Source organism: Homo sapiens, chromosome 2 (assembly GCF_000001405.40).
Source record: "Homo sapiens chromosome 2, GRCh38.p14 Primary Assembly".
In the NCBI taxonomy this organism is placed as follows: Eukaryota; Metazoa; Chordata; class Mammalia; order Primates; family Hominidae; genus Homo; species Homo sapiens.
The window spans coordinates 52,603,560-52,623,614 of NC_000002.12; positions in this window are offsets into that span (position 1 = coordinate 52,603,560).

Below are 20,055 nucleotides of genomic sequence, written 5' to 3' on the forward strand. Positions count from 1 at the left end.
AGGCTGCAGTGAGCCGAGATCGCACCACTGCACTCCAGAATGGGTGACAGAGTAAGACTCTGTCTCAAAACAAAAATAAAAATAAAAAAATACATATATATGTAATTTTTCTGTTGTATTGAATAAAATAAATCAATGGACTTTTTGAGAGATAGTAAGTTTTATATTTAAAAATACACTAAGAGATCTAAAAGTAAAAACCACAGAATTTGAATACCAATTTTTACCTATGTGATTTTGGACAAAGTATTTAATCTTTATCCCAATCCTCACCTGAAAAAAATAGGATTAATAGTATTACCTTACACACATTTGAAAAACAATGCCAAATGAATCTAAACAATCAACATTAAGCCCGTTCTAAAGGTCACTGAAATGAGTCAAGCCTCCACTCCAATTATACTAGTAGTATTTGAAAACAATAGTTTCTTTTCTCTTCATACCAACAGCATATGTATGATAATTCTAGATTAATAAAGATGCTCTTAATCATATGATACTAATATGAAAATGTAAGGCTTGCAACATTTATATAAATATTGATCAAAGAGTAGATGGAATCCATTGGCAGTTCAAAAAGATATAAACCCTACTTAATCTTTTGAGTGTCACTTCAAATGGTAGCTGACTTATTAAAGGGGGACCTGTGGTCAGAGAGAATGAACCTTAATGAAAATTAATTTCTAAGTCAAGATTGGTATTAAATAGATCTACTCAAAACAATGAATGAGGCCTCATATTTGTATTCACTTCTATTAATAAGTATCAACATTCTCATTATAGAGAGAAAGCTTTAGAAAATATTGTCGATGGTCAACATGTAAAAAAAAAAGGATAAAATTCCAAGGTATAAATTATTTCCCCTACCATACAATCTTCAAGTACATTTTTACTGAGGAAGATGTCAAATGATACTTGGTAAATATGAAAACCCCTTCTCACAACATTAAAATGACAACCCAGATCAGATTGTAGAGTTATATTTTCTAAATAAGAAGTAGCTAGATTAAAAAATAGGTATGTATTACTTGATCTAAATGTGGGTAAAAACCTCTCTAAGCAATAAAACAAAGGGAAAAATTATTTTAAACAACAGAAAAAAGTTACTATACTAACTTAACTTATAAATTTTTTAAAACTCTATAAAATAGTAGTCAAATACAAATGTGCAGAAAATTATTTTAAATCTATGTCACGTAAAATGAGTTAAAAATTTAATTCAACTGAAAAATTGAATAGAACATTTATTGAGGTTTTAAAAGTCAATTAAAGTGATGGAAAAACAGATAAAGAAGAAAATCAAAGAATATACAAATGGCTAATACACTTATAAAATATTTAAGCTAATTGATCATGTTAAAGTCTTAAAGTTTATGTTGCAATTAGCAAAGAGATTTTACATAAAAATGCATAGAATTAAAAATGTGAGAAGAGAAAAATTACCCACGGACCAGGTGCAATGCTAATTTTTAAAGTTCTATAGAGATATGATTCATATTTCATACAATTCACTTATGTTAAGTGTATAACATTTTAAATGGTTAAATTGTTTTTAAAATATTCAGAGATATGTGCAGCCACCACCACAGCCAATTTTAGAACATTTTAATCACTTCTAGAAGAAATCCCATACTCTTTAACTACAACCCTCAGAATTCCCCATCCCCACCCTCCAGCCTTAATCAACCACTGATCTATGATCTATCTCTATAGATTGTCCCTATTCTGGACTTTCATATGAATGGAATCATGTAGTTTGTGGTCTTTTGTGACTGGCTTCTTTCAGTTAGCAAAATGTTTTCAAGGTTCACCATGTTGTTGTATCTATCAGTACATTATTCCTGTTTATGGTTGAATAATATTCTCTTCTACGAATAGATACCATATTTTGTTATCCATTCATCTATTGGTAAATGTTTTATAAATTTATTTCTAATTTTTAATTTTTGTGGATACATAGTAAGTATATATGTTTATGGGATACATGAGATATTATGATGCAGGCATACAATGCATAATAATCACATCAGAATACATGGGGTATCCATCATCTCAAGCCTTTATCCTTTCTTTGTATTACAAACAACACAATTATACTCTTTTAGTTGTTTTAAAATGTACAATAAATTATAGTTGACTATAGTCACCCTGTTGTGCTGTCAAACACTAGATCTTATTCATTCTCTTTAACTATAGTTTTGTATCTATTAACCATTCTCATTCCCTCTCACCATTACCCTTCCCAGCCTCTGCTAACCATCATTCTACTTTCTATCTCTATGAGCAATTGTTTTAATTTTTAACTCCCACAGAAGTGTAAGAACATGCAAAGTCTGTCTTTCTGTACCTGGCTTTTTTCACTTAACATAATAACCTCCAGCTCCATTCATGTTGTTGCAAATTACAGGATCTCATCATTTTTTATGGCTGAATAGTACTCCATTGTGTATACTACATTTTCTTCATCCATTTGTCTGTTGATGAATACTTAGGTTACTTCTAAATCTGGGCCATTCTGAATAGTGTTTTAATTAACATCAGCTTGCAGATACCTCTTTGATACACTGATTTCCTTTCTTTTTAGTATGTATCTGGCAGTGGGATTGCTGTATCATATTGCTGTTCTATTTTTAGTTTTTTGAGGAATCTCCAAACTGTTCTCCACAGTGGCTGTACTAATTTGCATTCCCACCAACATTGTATGAGGGTTCACTTTTCTCCACATCCTCTCCAGCATATAAGCCATTTTAATTGGGGTGAGATGGTATCTCATTATAGTTTTGATTTGCATTTCTCTGATGATCAGTGATGTTGAGCACCTTTTCTTGTACCTGCTTGCTATTTGTATGTATTCTTTTGAGAAATGTCTATTCAGTTCTTTCACTCATTTTTAATCAAATTATTTGTTGTTTTTTTTTCCTATAAAGTTGTTTGAGCTCCTTCTATATTCTGGTTACTAATCCCTTGTCAGATGGATAGTTTGCGTGAATTTTCTCCCATTCTGTGTGTTGTCTCTTAACTTTGTTGGTTGTATCCTTTGCTATGCAGAAACTTTTCAATTTGATGTGATTCCATTTGTCCATTTTTGCTTAGACTGCCTATGCCTGTAGGATATTACTTAAGAAATATTTGCCCTGAACAATGTCCTGGAGAGTTTCCCCAATATTTTCTTTTGGTAATTCTATAGATTGAGGTCTTAGATTTTAATCCATTTTTATTTTATTTTTGTATATGGGAGAGACAGGGCTGTAGTTTTTATTCTTCTGCATATGGTTTTCTTCTTCATATCTTCTGCATATCCAGTTTTCTCAGCACCATGTGTTGAAGAGGTTGTCTTTTCCCCAGTGTATGTTCTGTTGCTAAATGTTTTTCATGTATTATCTCCTTTAATTCTATTCAGAATCCTGTGATATTCCCCCATTTTACTTGAAAAATGGAAGTAACTTGGTATAATACAATGGATTAGTTGGTGGAGTTGCTGAGATTTAAATGTGTACTGCCTGCCTATCTCTAGAACCCATATTCTGCAACACTAGGTTCCACCTCCTTAAATATGTTAATCATAAGTTGACCAATAATTCCACTTCCAGGAATTTTTAAGAAGAAAATAAATACTTACAGAAATATTGGTATACAATTATTATATATAAGATCATTTTTAGAAGTGAAAATTTGAGCATAATTTTATCATATAATGACTGTGGACTTGTTAAATTAAGGCACGTCAATACCATGACATATCATGCAGTTATAAAAATAATTTTCCAAAAACTAATAAAATAGAAAATTGAAGAGGTCATAGTTTTAAATGTAAAGAAACATTGTGCAATACTATACATAACTATGTACAGCAGATTCAATAGTTCACATGTTCATCATTTAAAAAATAGATATAATTTTGACTTCATGGGGATGTTAAAATTAATTATGTTTATATATGCAATGTGCTACAGTAGTTTATGTACACCTTATATAACTGTTGGGCACGTGTGCACAGACACAAACACCAAAAGACACACAGATAAACATAAAAATTCAGAGCAGAAAGATTGTGGGTGATCTTGATACTCCTTCATATTTTTCTATATTTTCCACATATTCAAAAGAAATCCAAAAACATCCAAGTTTGTGTAAAGAAATGTTTTAACATAAAGTAGTGACACAACAAAACAAAGAGAAACGTTTTATTCAATCTTTGTTCCACGGGATTTGGGCATTTTAGCTAAAGTAACCACTTCAGGTTTATCATGGAACATGAGGGTAGAGAGATAAAAATCATTCCAAAACTCTGTCTAACCTATATCCCTAAGTGTGAAAAAGTGATTTCTGTTTATAGACCTGGGCCTGTTTTGAAAAGTAGATAATCAAAATGATCCCATTTAGAAACAGATGCTTAGCAATCTTGAAATGAGCGGTAGGATATGCGGCAGAATTCTTTGCCACTGTCAGATGTTGCTTATTAACCCCCCACCTAGCTAAGTATGCCATTAGACTACAGAATAGTCTGCAAAACTACTGTCTTCCCAAGAAACAAGTTGTTGACATGTCAGCTGCAGAAGACAGTTTTCTAAAATCACTCATACGGTCTTCTTTTTAATAGTCCATACTTAATTAACACTCTTTGTCCTTCCATTTTATACAATATAAGACAGTTGTCATGAACTGATTTAACTTGCTCTAAACAGCATTTCACTAGAAACTAAAAGCTTTCATATCACTTTTGCATCATGCAGATACACAAAAAGAAAAAAGGAGTCTCCTGAGAGGAATTCATTTTCACATAACCACCTGCCTATCAACTGACATGCCAACATTAGCATAGGAGGCACTTTCATGGTTGAGACTTAGAATGACGCATTCCACTTCTTTTCCTTTTCTTTCTTATTTTTTTTGAAGACAGAATTTCACTCCTGTTGCCCAGGCTGGAGTGCAATGGCGTGACCTCGGCTCACTGCAACCTCCGCCTCTGAGGTTCAAGCGATTCTCCTGCCTCAGCCTCCTAAGTAGCTGGGATTACAGGCGCCCGCCACCACGCCCAGCTAATTTTTGTATTTTTAGTACAAATGGGGTTTCACCACGTTGGCCAGGCTGGTGTCGTACTCCTGACCTCAGGTGATCTGCCGGCCTAGGCCTCCCAAAGCACTGGGATTACAGGTGTGAGCCACCACACCCGGCCCCACTTCTTTTTCTAAATAAATTTTTTGCAGTACATTATTTTCTGATTATAAAATCGATACAGGCATACAATTTCTTTTTTTTTTTTTTTTTTTTTTGAGACGGAGTCTCGCTCTGTCACCCAGGCTGGAGTGCAGTGGCGCGATCTCGGATCACTGCAAGCTCCGCCTCCCGGGTTCACGCCATTCTCCTGCCTCAGCCTCCCGAGTAGCTGGGACTACAGGCGCCCGCCACTACACCTGGCTAATTTTTTTTTTCTATTTTTAGTAGAGACAGGGTTTCACCGTGTTAGCCAGGATGGTCTCGATTTCCTGACCTCGTGATCCGCCCGCCTCTGCCTCCCAAAGTGCTGGGATTACAAGTGTGAGCCACCGCGCCCGGCCAGGTACACAATTTCTTATCTCAAATCCCAAAAAGTGATCAATCGACCTTTGAAAATAAAGATTTTGCCACAACTCATTGTGAAAAAACCTGACCTGAACTGAGTTACCATAAAGCTGTATTAACATCACTTATTGTGTATATTAACACATTTTGCTGCAAAATATCAATATGCTTGTTTACAGAAGATTGTCTCAGACCCCACTGAAGGTGTAACCTAACATAAAATGTACATATCAGAAAATCATCCTAAAATTTAACAATTTCTCAATTCCAAAACATATTTGGTTAGATTGGTTTTGAAAAAGGGAATGTGGACCTGTATATTCTCATCACGAAAACATTATACAAAAAAGTATAAGAATTAAAATGAAGATAAGTCTTATGCCACTACTCAGAGCTGACAAATATGAACAATTTTGGTGAACATTTTTTACTGGTTTTTCCTATAGTTACATATGCCTAAAGGATGAATAAGCATGCACTTTTTTGTCATTTATTTTTACTGCATTTAATACTGTATCATGAACTTCTTTCACTGTAAATATAGATTATGTCATTAAAATAAAATATTGTGTATGTGCACTATAATGTATGCAAACAAATCTCTGTTTTTTAAAGATATTTAGGTTGTTTTAAAGTCACCACTATAAACAACACTGTGATAAATATCCTTATACATACACACCATTATTTCAGTAGGATTGATTTTAGGCCCAGGTTGGTAAGTAGGATAGCATGACTATATTAAATTTTGGCACTTATTTTTCAAATCGCCTTGCAAAAGGACAGCACCAATTTACATCTCCATATACAGTATAAACAGTGCTCATTTTCTCACACCGTCATCAGCATTGAGTATTAACAATCTTTTAAATATTTTGCACAAGCGAAGTACAAGACAAAAAGAAATCATCTTTTACTATATAATAACCTAGAGGGCTTAAATGTATCAGACAATAGAGTAACTTAGGGAAAGAAATCTAAGGAGAGGACAATGTAGCTTGTTTCCTATTTATAATTTTTTAAAACAAAGTCTGTTTCAATTGATGATTAAGTGATACATTATTTTCTATTGGATTTTTAAAATGAGGGAAGCATTGGTGAATATCTGTGGGACAAAATTCCTTCAATATCCAGATCTCAAAATGAATTAATATATGAGAAGTTGTATCAGATACACTAAAAAACTACTTCCAAGTTGTACAACAAAATTAATTCATTTTTTAAGAAGTGCAAAGACACAAACTTCTCAGGAAAAGTATATATATTTGTGTGCTGGGGATGATTAGCTGTGGTAGATTGAAAGGAGGGGTGACAATAGGATGAGAGAAATTGACTGAAGATGTCTGTTTCTTAATTTACCTACTATTTGATCTTGATAAAAAAGACACAGACTTTTTCTGTATCTCAGAGATTTTACAGGTGAAATGAGAACAATTTTTTAACCAATATTTCAGGATACAGTGAGAATAAATTAGCTTGACTTTTTCTGTGTCTTAGACAATTTATAGGTGAAATGAGAATAATTTAACCAATATCACAAGGTACTGTGAGATTTAAATGAGTTATCATACATTACAATGATCAGTACAGTCCTAAAAAATAATAGTGCATAACTATTAGTTTAACTTTAATAAAAGTGGGTTCTCATAATTTCATTCATTCATTCAACAAATGTTTCGTGTGTACATTTATTACTGTTTTAGTATTAATCTCATTTGACTCTATTCTGCAAAAACATTGGGGGAAATACAGATTCTGTTCAAATTGCAGTTCTGCCCCTTAATAATCTGTCCACTCTTTAAGTTTCTCACCTCCAAAATGGTAATTTTCATTCCTATTTCAAAGAGTAGTTGTAAGAATTAAATGAAGTAATGCATCTAAAGAACTGAGTGTGATGCACATAGTCAGTGCTCAATCATCTTGGTGGTGGTGGTGGTGGGTCGTCAAAGTTACCATCCCACTGCCTCCCACAGAGCTGGAGCCAATCAACGTCTATTTACTTCCTTCTTACTTTTTCTCTTTGGTTCATAGTCAAAGATTATACCATATACCTGGCAAGCCATTACAGGAATAGAGGACCCACCAGAAAACCTAAATGACATGGTGAGAATTAATCAGCTAGAAAAGTTTCTAACCAAAACAAAAAAATAAAAATATGTATTTTTCTAAGAACCACCCATTATTTATTAACATACATGATGAACATATAGGAAAATAATAAAATATAAATAGACTATGAGAGAATGTGCCATGATTACCAGAAAACCCCAAATAAAAATTTCATTGAAAATAATAATTATTTTTAAAATAGTTACTCCTCTCACCACCACAAAAGAAAAAAAAATAAACCTACACTTTCAGTATAGTACTTTGCTCTTTAAGGAAAATATAAGAGTCATAATTAAGTAATCATAATTTTTGAAAGGCATAATCTATTCTAAGTTCAAATCCATTAATTTCAAAATAACAATTCTTATAGTTTTATGTATCTTATTCATAATGACAACATATTTGACAACCATTATTTTATACTCTAAAACCACAGTCATTGATATTTAATCTAAATCATTATAGCAAAAGAACAGTAAAGTGATTCTAGAATTCAAATGTCTTTAAAGTTTGGATTAGCTGTCTTCAAGGGAGAAAACAAAGCCCCAATTTATTTATGGAAATATTGCCTTTGTAAAGGTCAAGGGTGAATCCCCACAGAATCAGTTGTTCAGCTAGCCCCAGAAATTGTTTTTACCCTTTTAACTTTCTCATTCTGAGCCACAATGGGACTGGGTCATAGGACAAAAAGGCACTAACGAGGACTGTCTCTATAGTTTCATAGAAGAAGAGAGATGGATGACTTGGCAGGGCAGCTGTGACATTATGAGCATTAGCCAAACAACTTTGTGGACTGTTTTCAGGAGAGGAAGAGGTACAGTTCTCTGGAAATAAAAACCTCAGATTTGCCTGAGTATACGTGGTCTCACCTGCTTTCTCCTGACATTCTAGCATTTGAATTTGTTCATGCAGCAGTAATATGATTGTCAGTTATGTGAAAAATGCATTCTGAATAACTGCTGGGTGTGAAAAACAGTTTCAGTATTTGAAGACTCTTAAGGTGGAAATACTCAATTCTTTCATCTAAGAGACTGATATGCTAAGGGAGGAGACCACCCCTCATATTGTCTTATGCCCAATTTCTGCCTCCAAAGAAAGAAGAAGTAAAAATTAAAAGGCAGAAATGGAATCTACAGGCAGATAGCCCAGCACCGCGCCCTGGGCCTGTTAGTTAAAAATCATCTCCTGACCTAACTGCTTGTGTTATCTATAGATTTCAGACATTGTATGGAATAGCATCGTGAAAATCCCTTTCCTGTTCTGTTCCATTCTGATTACCGGTGCATGCAGCCCCCAGTCATGTACCCCTGCTTGCTCAATTGCTCATGACCCTCTCACATGGACCCCCTTAGAGTTGTAAGCCCTTAAAAGGGACAGGAATTGCTCACTCACTCGGGGAGCTCGGTTTTTTGGAAATGTGAGTCCGTGGATGCTCCCAGCTGAATAAAACCCTTTCCTTCTACAACTCAGTGTCTGAGGGGTTCTTGTCTGTGGCTCGCCCTGCTACAATGCAAGTTGCTACTATGTAGTTCTCATCTTCAATAAAATGGATGGTGGTGGCTAAATAATATATTTACTTTATGAATTTGACTTCTACATCAAAACCTTGTCCCAATTTTTGTAAAGGAAATTTGAAGCATGTCATCAATTTAATAATTCAGGAAACATTTGAGTGATTATTAATAATCTTGATAAATCATAAATGGAGTTTAGACATAGAAATGCTACATAATATTAAAAATTTTTCCCCTAATGTGAATTTAGGGAGATTCAGCCCTATCTTCTTTCACTTGAGATCATAGACTTATTCATAGCATCTAAACTGTTAGGAATTTAGATTAGGTTTAAGGGAGTTTACTCTACTTCCCCTCATACTGTTCCCTTGATACAACTATAGATAGAAATCAGGACAAGGAAATGGGCTGAAATGTCAAATCAGCTTTAGAGGCTGTTGACTGTGCACACGGAATCAGCGTGGGTGAGAGCCGGTAATTTCCATAGGAGGAAAAGCAGGCAGAGGTCAAGGACTGAGCTAAAAGATCTTACCGCCACCTAGTTGGTGAGGACAGTTTAGCACCCCAATAGTAGGGGATGGGGGAGATAAAATTTAATCCTCAAAGGCAAAACACAATCTGTTAAGTAGAAAAGGCCTGCCCTCTTTGTTGTGCAGTAGAAATGAATAATCTTTACTCTCCTAGAGTTTTCTGAAAAACCTAAAAATTTACATTTCTCTTTCTTTGGGGCTTTGTGGCTTCTTCTCATTCTTAGGAGTCCCAACATACTATTTGGGGAAAGGATTCATCTTTCTTTTTTACCTTCAGATTGATTTTCTAAGAGATTTTCTCCTCAGTCCATGGGCAGAAGTGTATGTCAGAGCCAGAACCCTGTTTTACCTAGACAAACCTGCCATAAAATAGCAGACCTTTCTATAATACAATAAGGGACTAAATATCAGGAGAAAACTAAGAAAGTGCATTCCAGTATAAGTCACTAACCATATCCCTTCTTTCAAGATTCTGCCTCTTATGAGCTATCAAAATCAAAAGTAACTGTCTTAAACACCTGTTACTAAAATAGGAGGAACTTCATTACTTCCAGTTGAAAATATACTAATAAAAAAGGAACAATATATTAAACAGTAAAGATAGGTACTGGTTTATAGTTGTTGAAAGATTCTCCCCGGGGCCTGAAAGCTTGAAGGGATGAGTAACTCCTCCCTCCTCAGGCCCAGTCCCAAGGTGCAAGGCCACTTGTGCCAGCACCATGCGTAAGCAAGACAGCAGAAGCAGGAAGAGAGCCGCCCAGAAGACACCTACCCTGGCCAGAAGGCACCTACCCTGGCTGGAAGACATGTACCCCTGAAGATCGAGAAAGAGGCCATCCAGGTACTAGGTAGCAGTCATGTCAGACTGGGACACTTAGCCCTGCCCTGTCCTCATTTGGACCTAACGCCATTTTAGGCCTCAGCCCGCCTGCACCCAGGCGCTCATTAAAACAGCACGTTGCGCCACACTGCCTCGTGTTGTCCATTGGCACGCTCTCGGGGTTTGAACTGATACAAGAACCTTTCAGTTGTGTCATGAGATGGCCAGCTTTTCTACTTACATTGTCCCTTTCTACCATTCCAGGCAGTAGTTAAAGGTCTGACTTCTGGACCTTGGTATAGAGTCAAAAAGGTGTTGAATTCATGAGGCAATATACACATCTAAAAACCTGACCTTAGCGATTGATTTGTTTGGATCAGTGCTATAATTTTTATAGAAAGAAAGAATTCCCCCAACCTTCAAATCCTTTGGTCAAATGTTTACTCTTCACTCCAAGCACATAAGAACTGTTTTGCCCGCTGGTGGCAAGTAACAGAGTGGTAAAGTCAGTTACTTGTTAGGTCACAGGCAAAAGCAGCTACTGCAGCTATTAGCAACATCAGCTGATGTTAGGGGCCAATCAATGTAGGCAGGCAGTTAGAATAACCAGGAAGAGAATGGTCTCAGATGAGTAAAAAATCGATTTTCATAAGACATATACACTGAGAATCAGGGTCATTTATCTGCTGTTGGCTATATCTTCCTGGTCACTTAAAATGAACAAATGAGAAACTCTTGTTTTTGTGTGGCTTTATGTATAAGCTAATTGTTTGAAAGAGACCATGATAAGGCAATGATTGTCAAATTTGAATGATTATTAGAATTTAATGATTGCCAAAGTTTTATATGATCCTTTGATAATTTTCTCATAATTTTTTTTTCTGGACGAATATAACAATGCATAGAAAGTGTTATATCTCACCAGCAGCAATCACTTTGCTTCTGGCTCTCTTTTCACTTATTTCACTGACCACGTATCACAGTCTCCAATTGGGAACACAGATATAGACAGGAGGCAGGGAAATACTAGGTAAAAAAGGGCAGGTTCCCTGGCGAGGGCTCCACACTCAAGCCTGGACCCACAGCCCTAAGTAAGAATTCCTGTTTCCCTACCTAAATGTCGTTTTTATCAAAACCACCCTGGCTTGCCCCACCCCACACTGTACCCATAAAAACCCCAAGTTCCATTGGCAGAGAGGTGGCAGAGCAGTAGAGTGGTACAGATAAGAAGAGGCATCTGAAAGTCAAGGGGAGAAGAAGCAGCTGGACATTGGAGATTATGGTGGGAGAGGGGTTTGGTGGGGGATGGTCAGACAGGGATTTGGCCATGAACAGCAGAATTCCAGGGAAAGACCACCTTCCTACTCCATCCCCTTTCCTGCTTCCCATCCCACTGAGAGCCATTTCCACTGCTCAGTAAAATCCTCCACATTCACCACCCTCCAATTTGTTCATGTGACCTCATTCCTCCTGGACACTGGACAAGCACCCAAGTGTGGGTGCAAGAGGCTACCACAATGACCCCCCACTGAGCTGTTTAACACTTAAGCCATCCACGGGTGGAAAAGCTAAAGGAATGCACTGTAATACACACCGACTGGGGCTCTGGGGGTTGTGGGCAACCTCTAGACACTGCCACGGGGCCATGCAGAGTTCTACTCCTACTGCCACCCAGAAGCACTCGTCCTGGCCTCTGCAGTCACTCATCTACATGCTCCCCCTCCAACAAGGGGTTTGAGAGCTGCGGACTGAGTAAGCGAACCACCCCTTCACGAAGTCAAGGGAACTATCCCATCTCAACACTGTATACTTCCTTTGCCAAAATGTAGGTCAGATACTCCTAGCCTGGGCAGCTAACATTGTAGTGTCAAGATCCTTTTTTGCCTACAATCCTTACCTTTCTTCTTATAATTTCTCATTAACCAGTTTATCTGATATTTCTAACTCATTATTCCTCAATTTGTTTGCTTAGGATATATTGATGTAATAGATGTCTACTTACCTAGGTTGTCTCATGAAATTTGCCTGAGCTTTCTGATATAGTCTACTTACCTTTGCTTCTACATTCAAAGAAATTCAAGATTTATTTTGCTGATGTAAGAATAAAAAAAGAGGTTTATCAAACAGCATCTTCCCATTATCTAGTTCCATTAGATTTCCAGGCACTTGCTACAGGAATAAAATTGAGAATGTAGATTTTAAGTAGACCTGGGTGGGAGAACATTAGCTTAGCTATTGCTGATATATCTCAACCGAACCCCAGAAGTTGCAGAAAATAGACAGTAATGAATACTTGAAACAGCCTATAGCTTTTATACCTTCATATACCATGAATATCTAGTCCATCAATCAGATTATATGAGTAAAGCAGAGAATATTACTTGATTCTCTATTGTTATCACTTTCTCAAAAGCAATTGAAATGGAGAGTAATAAAAATCATACTGAAAAGAACTCAAGCACTCTTTAAAGATTTTTGTTTAAAAAGAAAAACATCTCACTGGGATTTAGGTAAAAAAAATAAGAACACTTGAGGAGGAATTAAAACAAAATATTTTTTTCTTCTCTTTTAAACAAAATGATTGTTTAACACTCACACACCTACAGATACCCACCTTTTTTTTCCATTTTAAGACAGACCTTGAGATTCTTTCATGTAACCATGTTTCCATTTAATATTCACACTTCAGGCCCAGCCTTTTCCAGTGGAGTTTCTGTATAGCACAGAATTCTCATAGCACTATAGACCATTGATCTGAATCCTCAGAAAATGTAGAACTCTGACACCAGACAGAACTCTCTTAGGCTTTTGAAAGGAGGATGGTGAAGTATACTTTGAAATGGCATCTGAATCTATTATCCCAAAGCCCAGAGCCATTAGATGAATCTGGTTTGAATGTCAGTGTTTTCTGTCATAATCACGTGTTATCTTCACCTAGGTTCCCATTTGTTCCCTCAACATTTTTTCTTTTCATTAAGCTTTTGCCATCTTTTAGTGGGGGCAAAGGCCTTTTAAAATCCTTTTTGGGAGTTTTACTTACACATATATTTTCCTTCTTGATTGCATATTAGGTAAAAAACAAAGTATATGCAAATCATTATGTACCCTCAAGTCATTATGTAACCTCATTTATATAAGATACTATAAGGCAACACAGGATATCAACTGGCACAAAGGTGATTATATAAACTTCTCACAAACACCAAATTCTCAGAACAATGTCTAAATTAAAATCCAGAAACAGTATGTTTACACCCTGGCTGGAAGCCAGATATTCCTTTAAATAATCGGGACTTCTAGAGATTTTATAGGAACATGTTTTTTATTCCAAAATCACCTATTTTCCTCTCCTCCAAAACCACTTTGCTCCAAACTTTATAGATCCTCTTTCTTTTAAGAATAGCATCATTCTCCCAATCACCCAGTATCAAAACTACAGGCTCAAATTTGACTGCTAGCTTCTTGCTTCTCAGTAGGTTGTCAAATTAATCAATGCTACTTATACAAAACAGCTTCTTGCCATCTCTTCTTCTATTTTCACTACCCTATTTTGGGTCTCCCCAAATCTTCACAGTATGTCTAAAATCTAAGTGGCATTCAAAGTTTTCTGTTCTGTCTCTCAGTCCTGTATTGCCAATCTATTCAGCAAGCAAACTACTGTCGTTCCTTTCATCGGGGCCTTTGTTAGTTTTTTGTGCCCAGAATAAACACCTCTCTCATTTCCATCTGTCTGTCTCTCATCGATCTTTCAGATGGCAGTACAAATACCATTACGCTGGAAAGCCTTCCCCAATTTCCACGAATGACAATCATCACTCACTGCTCTGAATTCCTATGCACTTAATTATCATAGACCCCACTCTCTCTCATTATAATTATTCATGCATTTCTTTTTCTGGTAGACTGTAACACCCTTGAAGGCAGAAACAATGATAAATCCAATTTCTTTTTTCCATTATCTTTTTGAACATAAATGAATATTCAACACATTTAGGTAAAAATATATATGTAACATTTTAGTGCTAACATTTTAATAGATAAATTGGTCCTTGGTGCTGTCTAGGTAACAAATGGATTCGCATGAGCAGGGAATGAATCAGCACAGCCATTTGATGGGATTTTACCCTGCTTTACATTACCTGGTCACCTTTGTCATAAACGCTCTTTGCCATTACCTGTTACCTAGTCACCTTCGTCATAAATGCTCTTGGCTCTAATCCGAATGGATCAGAAAGAGGTAAAATCCCTCCATTTAAAAGGGACATTAAAAAAATATTTTCAGGTATAAAATTCAAATAGAGGAAGGTGACAAGAAAGGAAGCTTATTTCTTGTTCCAAAAGTCTAGTCAATATGATAGTCTCATTAATGCAGTAAGTTAGCCTGAAACTGCTTTTTCAAGTGGAATGCTATTCACCGTGGACTTTCATAATCAATATTCTAGTAGCCTTTTCACACACCTGTTTCACACCTGATACAACTTTTTTGTCCTTCAGAAAGACCAGCAAATCCAGCAGAGAATTCATGAACTAAAAATTCCTTTTAACAGATTTTTACCTTAATATGCAAGTTCAATGACAACTGAAAAATCAACTGCAAAAGAATAATTTAAATAAAAATTGGGGGGAAAGCGAAGAATATGAAGTGGCATGTTTCCAATTAAATATAACACAAAAACAGCGTGAAAATGTAAAAAAACAAATCCTTTTCACTTGGCAGGAGCTGCTCTTCTAGTAGCCCTGTATTCTCCATCAGAAAAGTGCCAACGGCCATTTGAAGATGAAAAACAGAAAACAGAACTTCTTTCACAAGAAAAAATAAGGGCAGTTTATTAAGGAATGCCATTTCCAGATGACTCCCTTGTACAGAGTAATAAAAATCATTTTAAAAAATTAAATAGAGCACTTGGAGACAAATACAACTTTTCTGTTGAGGAAGATATAAGAACTAGGATTCACCTTCAATCAAGTATATGAATGGGAGGAAAATAAAAACCACAGAAGAAAGAATATCAAAACCCAACGAAATTCAGTGGCACACACAAAAACTGGAAATATATTTACTTTTTGAATGCATAAATAATGATTTCTGAGTCTTGCTTACATTAATACACTTCTGTTGTTGCCATCCTGTACCACAACTTTCAATTCACATAAAAAATATACTCAGAAAAAGATTTTTATTTTCTTCAAAGCCAAACAGCAACAAAGAGAAAGAAATCAAGAGAGGGAGAGAGAAAGAAAGAGAGAGAAAACCTGTAGAGTTAACAGAAACTGAACACTCTTTTATAAAAAAAAATAAAGATTTGCTTGCAAATAAGAAAAGTGAAAAGTAGAGAGTGCTAAGTTAGTATCTGCTGGAAGGACTGAGGCAACTTCAAGTCAAATAAGTATAACCTGGTGCTATTAGAATAAATTGTGACCCCTCCTAAAATATACGTGTGTGTGTGTGTGTGTGTGTGTGTGTGTGTGTGAGTTCTGAAGCTCTAGCCACCAATGTGACTGTATTTGGAGATAGGGCATATGAGGAGGTGATAAAGGTTAAATGAGGTCATAACCATAGACCGCTTAATCCAATAGGATTGTTGACTGTGCTGCTTAATTTTATGTGTCAACTTCACTGGACTAAGAGATTACCAGGAAGCTGGTAAAACATTATTTCTGGATATGTCTGTGAGGGTGTTTCCAGAAGATACTAGCATTTGAATTGATGAACTGAGTAAAGTAGATAGCTCACCCCAGTGTGGGTACCATTCAATCTGTTGAAGGCCCATATAGAACAAAAAGGCAGAAGAAGGGTGAATTATCATTCTGTGTTTGAAAGGTATCGATCTTCTCCTGCCCTCAGACACCTCCAGGACTTTCACCACACCCACCCTCCACTCCCACCCCTACCCCTACCCTTACCCCTAGTCCCCAGGCCTTTGTCCAGGAACTGGTATTTATACTATTGGCTCCCCTGATTCTCAGGCCTTTGGGCTCAGACTGAATTACACTATTAACTTTCCTGGTCCTCCAGCTTGCAGACAGCAGACCATGGGACTTTTTATCCTCCATAATCATATGAGCCAATTCCCATTATATAGATCTCTATTAATCTATCTATCTATCCATCTATCTATCTTTCTATCTATCCACATACTTCTTTTTGGTTATGTTTCTCTGGAAAGCCACAACTATGATATGGTATTATACTGGCCTTATTTTTTGTTGTTTATTTATTTATTTTTCTTTATACTGGCCTTAGAAGAAGAGAAAGAGAGCTCCCTCTTCCTCTCTTATGCTCTGTCATGTGAGGACATAGTGATAAGCTGTAGAACTTTCAGAAATAAATTTCTATTATTTAAGCCACCCAGTCTATTATATTTTTTATAGCAACTCAGGTTGAGTCACACACACAGATAAACTGTCAAACTGATTGTAGCCTTAAGAGGGAGAAATTAGAGATTCTTCCATCCATGCAATAAATAAATACCTACCAAGTCTACTAGTTGTCAGTCATTCTGCTGGGTGCTGAGATTTAAATATAAACCAAAGTGCCAGGTTCCCTATCTTCAGGAGCTCACAGCCTAGTTGGGGAAAGAATATTATTTAAATATTCCCAGAAATATATAGTTACCAGTTACAGTATATGCTTTGAGGAAGAATTATAAGGAGATTATAGGCAGGAAAAGCAGTGGGGACAAATCCATTCTGAGTGTCCTGGGCAGTCTTCCCTGAGGAAGTAACCTTTCAGCTGAGAGAAACAATCAGTGTGAGTTGATATGGCTAATGAAAGAGGGAAGGGAGAGAGCAGGAAAGATGGAGGAAATGCCCTGTACAAAGTCCCTGTGGAGGGGGTGATGCATTTGAGCCATCTTGTCCTTACAGATTTTATAACTTAGTATTGTTAATCAAAGTATGGGGAACAAAAGCTTCTGAGAAAGTAAAAATATTTCCCATATCAGGAAAAACAAAGTGCCCTTTCTTACTGGGCAAGGAAATAAAAAGATCTCAAAATTTATCACAGATACCCTGAGGACTCAGGGACAGTGTGATGTATAAGGCAGTGAGTAGCATCTGGAAATGATACCAAATGGGACAAAAACAAAATGGATCCTCTCAAGTTTCATTGCTCTTTTGAGCTCTTAACCCAAGTGGCCTGTGTTGTTGTCATGGGAATGAATCTCAGCAAAAGAAATCAATGAGTTAAAAATAAGAGTGAGAGCAATGATAAACTTAATTTGCCTCAGTGTCTGACCTCTCTTGAACATGAAAGTATTGCTAGAGGAAGTAAGAAAAGGGATGAAGATTCCTCCCAAGAAAGGAATCTGTTTGGCCCAACTCATTCTAGGATGCCAGGCTATACAATGTGATTACTGTCAAGCTTTATAATAAAAGAAGTCTTGGATCATTTCCTTCCAGGTTCCAACATGATTACAGGGAGTGGAGTGGGATTCTGCAATTGTTCCTGCAGTTAATGAGTAAGATTTCATTAGAAGAAGCTGTCAGGAAAAGCAATGATTCAAATCTAGTACAGTTTTACAAAAAGGCAGTCACACATGATTTTAGGGACCTTTTAGTTCTGTCAAATAATAAATAAAAACACAGCTCTAAATATACCACAAAACATCATTAATTTAGCTTGAGGGGTTATCTATTTAAGTTCAGATACTCCTTTTTACGAATAATATTGAAAGTTTGATCAATCATTTAAATCTTCATATGAGATAGTTTCTTACATCTTTCCTTGAAAAGAGATTTTGAAAGGAGTAGGGTAATTTATAGGTCTTGTTGCTGAAGTTTAAAGATATAAAAGAAGGCTGAAGAGGTGTAGATTGTCTTTATACACTAAATAATTATGAATAGAAGGAGGAGTGATTCCATCCCCTAATATCCTCATCTTCTCTTATTCTTGGTCTTCCTGGTATATTCTTTAAAAAGCAATCACAAAGTTTTTGCAGCAGATGTTTTGTTCAGAGACCTACTTTGAAATGTTAACTTCCTTTATTTTCAGGAGCAGAACTACAGTTCCTTTTTTAAAAGTCAAAACAATCCTCATTGGAAACTCTAGTCCCTCTGAATCTGAAGCATCCACAGAAAAAAAGTACTCTGGGAGGAAATCAGGTTTCAGCAGTTTTATTTGCAGCTTATTGATTAACAGAAAAAAACAGAAGTAAAATGGGGCTCTGTCTCTGAAAATGAAAAGTCCAAGAAAAGCCAAATGGCTGAGCCCGTGTTCAGTAATGCAGAGCAGCAGCAGTGCATGGGAAATCTGTTCCACAGCCTACGCTTTTCTGCCTGTGCACCACAGAATCAGAAAATGAACATTTTACCTCAACCCAGTGGCCAAAAGTTATTCACAAAGGCCTCTGCATTGGCATCAGTGCATTAGCTACTTGAAAAATAGGTCACTAAGCTAAAGCAAATCAGCATACAGGATGACATGGCAACCACAAATGAAAAGTAAGAATTTAATATATCTTGGGCCTGACTTCTTATTAACACTAAAATAATTCACTTCTAAGAAGGGCTCAGCAAGCCTACTGGATCAGAATTAAGGAGAATAACCAGATCTTTTTATGTGGCATAAGCCCTGATGCCATTCTACCCTCTGTAGCCAATTCCCCTACCCACTGCCTTGTATTCAGGAAAGAGAAAGGCAGGTGGCTAACATCAAGCAGGCAACTAAGAATTCCTTGCTACATGGGTTACTGAGCTTCCTCTGTTATCCTCTTAGAATATCACGATACTCACCCTTTAACAGTGGTACTTCATTAACGCCTGGCTAACTCCCGTCATACTTACCATATCTACGCCGTTTAGGAAAAATCATTCTGAGCCTGTAAGCTTCAGTATTTTTACCTAAAATAAAAATGGTATATATAACATCTAAATGTCCTTGAACTCTATAACCACGTAAGGAAAACATATCTATTCAACCATAATAAAAGGCTGATTGTGGTAAGTGCAGAAGCAGCTAGCATTAAGGGAGTTATTGCTGGGTCACTGGCACAACTCTATGAGAGGGGATTCCTTATCATCCTGATTTGACAGATGAGGGCATGAGGTTTAGAGTTGTCAGGTGAACTCATTCAAAGTCATACTGTCGGTCAGTGGAAAAACTAGGATATTATTTTCTTTGGTCTACTTCCACTGTCCACATTCCTATAGGATAATAAGGAGTGACTTAATGAAATTAGGGTTTTACTAGAAAAAATAAATTAGGATTTAGTCGTGCGGAGATGGCTAGAGGAACTGTTCCTAGTTCTCATCAACTTAACACGATGGAAAGCAAATTTGCTTTGGAAATAGGAATCCTTCTTTCAAGTTCTACCTTTGCATGAAGCTATCTAGGAAAGGTAGAAGAAAAGATAAAGGAAAATGGATTTTATTTTGGCTTTACAAAACAATTAATGCAGGATATAGGAAACTAATGTTGTGTAGGCATTGGAATAAGCCCTTGACTGTTGTGGAAAAATATAGTATTCAAACAATCAATGTCTAGAGTTTATTCTTTACAACGAAGCATCATCAACTCACT